Source organism: Homo sapiens, chromosome 6 (assembly GCF_000001405.40).
Source record: "Homo sapiens chromosome 6, GRCh38.p14 Primary Assembly".
Classification (NCBI taxonomy): domain Eukaryota; kingdom Metazoa; phylum Chordata; class Mammalia; order Primates; family Hominidae; genus Homo; species Homo sapiens.
In genome coordinates this window covers 121,644,077-121,649,845 of record NC_000006.12, presented here as the reverse complement: position 1 = coordinate 121,649,845, position 5,769 = coordinate 121,644,077, and the positions used below count along the sequence as shown (strand labels likewise).

Here is a 5,769-nt window from a genome sequence, read left to right as displayed (position 1 = left end):
ATCTGCCCTTTACCTTGGTTCAGCTCTCACTGAGGTCATCAGCCAAGTACTAATAGTTAAAAATCTGGATTTAAAAAAATTTCAGTCTGGGTGTTACTAGACTTTTCTGAAGAATTTGAAACTGCTCATTACCCATACCTTGAAGTTTTTAAGCCCTTTAGTTTGGCAACAACTTACTTTCGGCTCTCCCCCTCCTCCTCTTCTTTTGATTACTTTTCAGTCTTTTTTATGGACTCTCCTTTCTCCCAGATTTCTAAATACTGACTGTTTTCCGGTATCTGTCCTGTGGTCTTCTCATTCTTCATACTCTTCCTGAGTTATTTCATTTATCAACCGTATGTGGACAACTCTTGTTGCAAGTGGACCTAAATACAACTCCTAGGTTCTTTTTAGTAGATTACTGTAGGTGCAGAAGTTTTGAGGAAAGTGGGAGTTAGCTACACTCCACTATCATTACCTGGTGATTATGAAAGCAAGTCCCAGACCAAATTCTGCTACATGCATCAAACATTTATTATCTAAATATTTATTAGAATATAATCACAAAAGAAACAATTTGTGCAACCTGTTCTGCAGGCCTGAGGAAATACCAAGATTCCAGAGGTAGTGGTTCTGTCACCTCTATCATCAGCATCTGACAATCAGAGTCTCCCAGTTTCATAGTGTACACTCACCTGTGGCATCATCCCTGAGAGTATAGGCTTTTGGCCTTGCTTCTTTCTTATCCTCTGTTCATGCATTCATAGGGATAGAAAGGGAGTGTTTCTAACACATTGTTTGTAGCTTAACTTTCACTGGAAGCACATTTCATAGCAATAATTAAAAGTCACTCATTACACCAATAAATACCTGTTTCTAACAATTACTATAAGAATAATCAAAGAGCCGGGCGTGGTGGCTCACACCTGTAATCCCAGCACTTTGGGAGGCCAAGGCGGGTGGATCATGAGGTCAGGAGACTGAGACCATCCTGCCTAACACACGGTGAAACCCCGTCTCTACCAAAAAATATACAAAAAATTAGCCAGGCGTGGTGGCGGACCCCTGTAGTCCCAGCTACTAGGGAGGCTGAGCCAGGAGAATGGCGTGAACCCAGGAGGCAGAGCTTGCAGTGAGCCGAGATTGCGCCACTGCACTCCAGCCTGGGTGACAGAGCGAGATTCCATCTCAAAAAAACAAACAAACAAAAATGAATAATCAAAGAATTGGTTTCAATGGAGATCCAGAAAACAAAATTGCTTATACTAATAGAAGGGCCTCTGGAGTTACTATAAGAATAATCAAAGAATTGGTTTTGATGGAGATCCAGAAAACAAAATTGCTTATACTAATAGGAGTGTCTCTGGAGTACAGGGTATTTGAGTGAGAGTCAACTATTCCTCTTGAACTGTGCATGCTTAATTAGAGATGGGCAGCATCTAGCTTATAGCTTAATCTAATTCTACATAAAATATCACACTATATGTGTGGAAGTGTTTGAAAGTCAATTATACACATCATAGCAACTCCATTCCTGGGTCTTTATCTTCATCTCAGAACCTTCACTCCAATTCCAGATTTCCATGCAAATGGTTCCATCAAAAACTCAATCTGCCAAAACTGAACCCATATTTTTTCCTTTTCTAATCCAAGAATGTTCCTCCTTCATGTTTCCTACTTTTGTGTGTGGGTGTGTGTGTGTATGATTCATTACCCCTCTTCCCAGAGTCTTATACACATGTGATCACTCAGCAAATGCTGTCAGTGTTGGAGCCAAAATGCTTCAGATTCCAACTCTGTCATTTACTATGTGACCTCATGAAAGTTCCTTAACCTCTCTGAACCTCAATTCCCTTATCTGTAAAACAGGGATAATAACATCTGTTTCACAGGTTTAGGTTAAGAATGAAACAAGATAAAGGAAAGTACCTAACATAAGGCTTGGCATGTGATAAAGTCTTACATATGTTAGTTTCCACCCTTTACCCCTTCTTCCACACCATTGTCATCCTTTGTTGACTGAGTTTGTGGTTTTAAACTGATTCCTAATTAATTCATTCAGTATTCAATTAGTCCTTCATGTGCTTGAAAGGCACCTATGCAAGGTGTTAGAAACACAATTGTGACAAAATAGACATTGCCCTTGTTCTAATGAAGGTACTTTAAAAAAAATTATTTGAGACAGAGTCTCACTCCATTGACCAGCCTAGAGTGCAGTGGTGCAATTATGGCTCACAGCAGCCTCAATCTCCGGGACCCAAGCAATCCTCCCACCTAGGCCTCCCAAAGTGCTGGGGTTACAGGTGTGAGCCACTGTGCCCAGCCTAATGAGAGTACATGTTAATGGGGAAAACTAATATGTAAAGATTAACAGATAAATGATTATTACAAGACAAAACAAGAAAGGATTATGAAGGAAATACACAGGCAGATGAATCAGAGACCAATAGAAGCTGGGAAGTGGGGTGGGATTGTGATCCGTGGAATGGTGCAGTCTAAATGTTGTTTATTCACTGTCTGCAAAAAGAAAAACGCACACACTGAGATTAGGTGTTAGAAACTTTTATAGCAGTTTGGCGTGGCTGTAATAATTGTTGTGTGTGTTAGATAACTAGGTAAAAAGAGTAGAGGCCATCACACTCCTGTTGCTGGTGGCGTGAGCTATGTAGAAGTACTATGCACAATAGAACCATGTTCCAACTTGGAATATTTTAGTTTGTCAACTGTAAGCCAAATGTGTACATAATCCAAAATTTATTTCTTTCATTAAAAGCTAATTTAAATTTAACCGTAACTCTACAGGAAAAATTACTGAAACTGGTTACTAATGCACAAGTAATTATGAATTTTAAAAATACAATGTCCCTTGTTTCATTTTGATCAGTTAAAAATGAAAATTTCTGCATGTACTGAATGACCTTTTTTTCATTCATATCAGCATCCTCTAAGATGCTGTCTCTACTATTAATGTAATACTGATAAAACATAGAAGCAGTTAAATATATATTATCTTCTGCAAGCAGAGTTGTCATCAATTCAACCTAGATTAGACGAATTAAGAGGCAAAAAACAAACTCATTTGTCATGCTAAAAACTTTAAGTATCAATACACACTATGTTTGTTTAAAGTGTGTTTAAAGGCTTTTATTGTTGGGAGTCACCATTTCACTAAGTTTTGTTTAGTCATGATAGCAAATCAAAAAAGTTATGAGTAGAGTAGCAATTTTCCATATGTACTGCCTATATACACACTTTTAATGAACAGTATTTACCATTTTTTTTTTTTTGAGACGGAGACTCGCTATGTCGCCTAGGCTGGAGCGCAGTGGCACGATCTCGGCTCACTGCAAGCTTCGCCTCCCGGGTTCACGCCATTCTCCTGCCTCAGCCTCCCGAGTAGCTGGGATTACAGGTGCCCGCCACCACGCCCAACTAATTTTTTGTATTTTTATTAAGAGACGGGGTTTCACCATGTTAGCCAGGATGGTCTCGATCTCCTGACCTCATGATCCGCCCACCTCAGCCTCCCAAAATGCTGGCATCACAGGTGTGAGCCACCGTGCCAGGCCGTATTTACCATTTTTTATTGTATTTTGTGTTTTTACCCACATTAGGCTTGTTCTTATTATATTTACTAAAAATGTAACCTTATGCTTGATGAATTTAATAATAAAATATTGGGGCTTTATTTTGAAAGTATTTATTTTTATTTCATTTTTCTACTAATTTACTTTTATTGTAGTTTATAAAACTATTAGTCCATGATGAATTGGAAAAAAAATAAATCTAGTCTTTGCCAATTGAAAAGCAGTTCTGTAGATGAGTGGTTGGGGAAAGTGCTCTAGGGAAGGAACAATAAAAGCATGAAAACTGTAGTTTTGTATTTTCAAAATGCCTCAAAAAGTCATGCCTTTCTGTGCTTATTCTCACAGTTATACCTTAGTTTAGACTCTAGTCATCTATAACAGAGACATCTAAAAAACATATGATCCTGGGGAGTTTCTTCTTTTTTTTCTCTCTTTCTCCTCATGTCTTTTGTTTCTCTTCTACATCTATCCTGAAAACAACAATAAAAACAGGCACAGACCCTTCTCTAAACTTATGGAATGGTTATTGCTTGTACAACTTTAGGGTATTTCTTATAAGCTGCTTTATTTTGTCAAGTTTTTATGTGTGTTTTTTTATATGTACACATGTATATTTGTGCTATATGTCTCTCTATATATGTAGAAAAGAGAGAGAGAGAATGACAAAGAAAGAGAGAAGAACAGAGAAAACATGTCATCATCTCCTAGACAAAAGTGAAAGTTCTGTACAGGTATGAACTACACTGTATACTCGATATCCAAAGGACCCTTCACATAATAGGTACTCAATAATTTCTTGTTGATGGCAGTGCAGTGGTAAGTCTAACAATGCATTCCCTTCAATTGATTCTCTTTTCCTGTCTCATTCTTTGCATAACAGTAAGTACAATTTTATTAAAGCTCATTATTTTTGTTGGGGAAGAAGTTTTGAGAACTTCAGTTATTGACTCAGCTAACCACAGGATGTCTCTGCAGAGAGCAGACCACAGTGGTCTGGTGGTGAGCTTGCACAGTCATGTGTACCCTGGGACCCTCCAGATCTCCTGGTTACCCTATGTGACCTTTCACCAATTCATTGCTGACTTGATCATGGATGAAATTATGTCTTCACTTGGACTAATTTCTAGGCCCTTAAAAGAAATGTAATAGACAACTTACCCCTCTCCCCACCAAAAACCCCTCATTTTTATCAATTATAGTTTCATAAATAGAGATGTATAATTTAAATATGTAAATAAAAATGAGAGAAAGAGTACATTAAATAATTGCAGTGTGAATCTTGTCTCCAAAGTCAAGACCTGATGAACTGTCTCTTTTCCAAAATCAGAGTTCACAATTCTCATAGTAATGTAACTATCTCAGAGAAGGACATTTGAATGTACATTTGCTGCCTTTACTGGGATTTAACAACAGTGCTTTTTTTTCTCTCCTAGAAAGTAAACTATGCTTGAAAGAAACTGTAGAGGTTCTTTCTCATGGAGTGAAATAACTACCCTCAAAATAAATAATGATCAAACGGTTTGTAAACCTAGGAATAATATTACATTTAGAAATAAAGGTCCAAACTTCAATAAAATCGTGTTGCAAAAAGCATTTTTTTTGCATTTTTTTATTTTTTATTTTATTTTTAATTACACTTTAAGTTCTGGGATACATGTACAGAACGTGCAAATTTGTTACATAGATATACACGTGCCATGGTGGTTGGGTGCACCCATCAACCTGTCATCTACATTAGGTGTTTTTCTTAATGCTATCCCTCCCTTAGCCCCCCACCTGTCGACAGGCCCCAGTGTGTGATGTTCCCCTCCCTGTATCCAGGTGTTCTCATTGTTCAGCTCCCACTTATGAGTGAGAACATGTGGTGTTTGGCTTTCTGTTCTTGTGTTAGTTTGCTGAGAATGATGGTTTCCAGCTTCATCCATGTCTCTGCAAAGAACATGAACTCATCCTTTTTTATGGCTGCATAGTATTCCATGGTGTGTATATATGCCACATTTTCTTTATCTAGTCTATCACTGATGGGCATTTGGGTTGGTTCCAAGTCTCTGCTATTGTGAATAGTGCTGCAATAAACATACGTGTGCATGTGTCTTTATAGTAGAATGATTTCTAATCCTTTGGGTATATACCCAGTAATGGGAATGCTGGGTCAAAGAGTATTTCTGGTTCCAGATCCTTGAGGAATTGCCACACTGTTTTC

General features: G+C 37.9%; 1 annotated feature.

Moving 5' to 3' along the window:
* Window positions 2,320–2,489: an enhancer, noted in NCBI's record as "experimental_89548 CRE fragment used in MPRA reporter constructs". NCBI's record gives its function as "activates a minimal promoter by MPRAs in K562 erythroleukemia cells, with activity observed for both the introgressed and non-introgressed 6:121968588 variant alleles {active_cell/tissue: K562}" and the evidence as "EXISTENCE:reporter gene assay evidence [ECO:0000049][PMID:34662402]".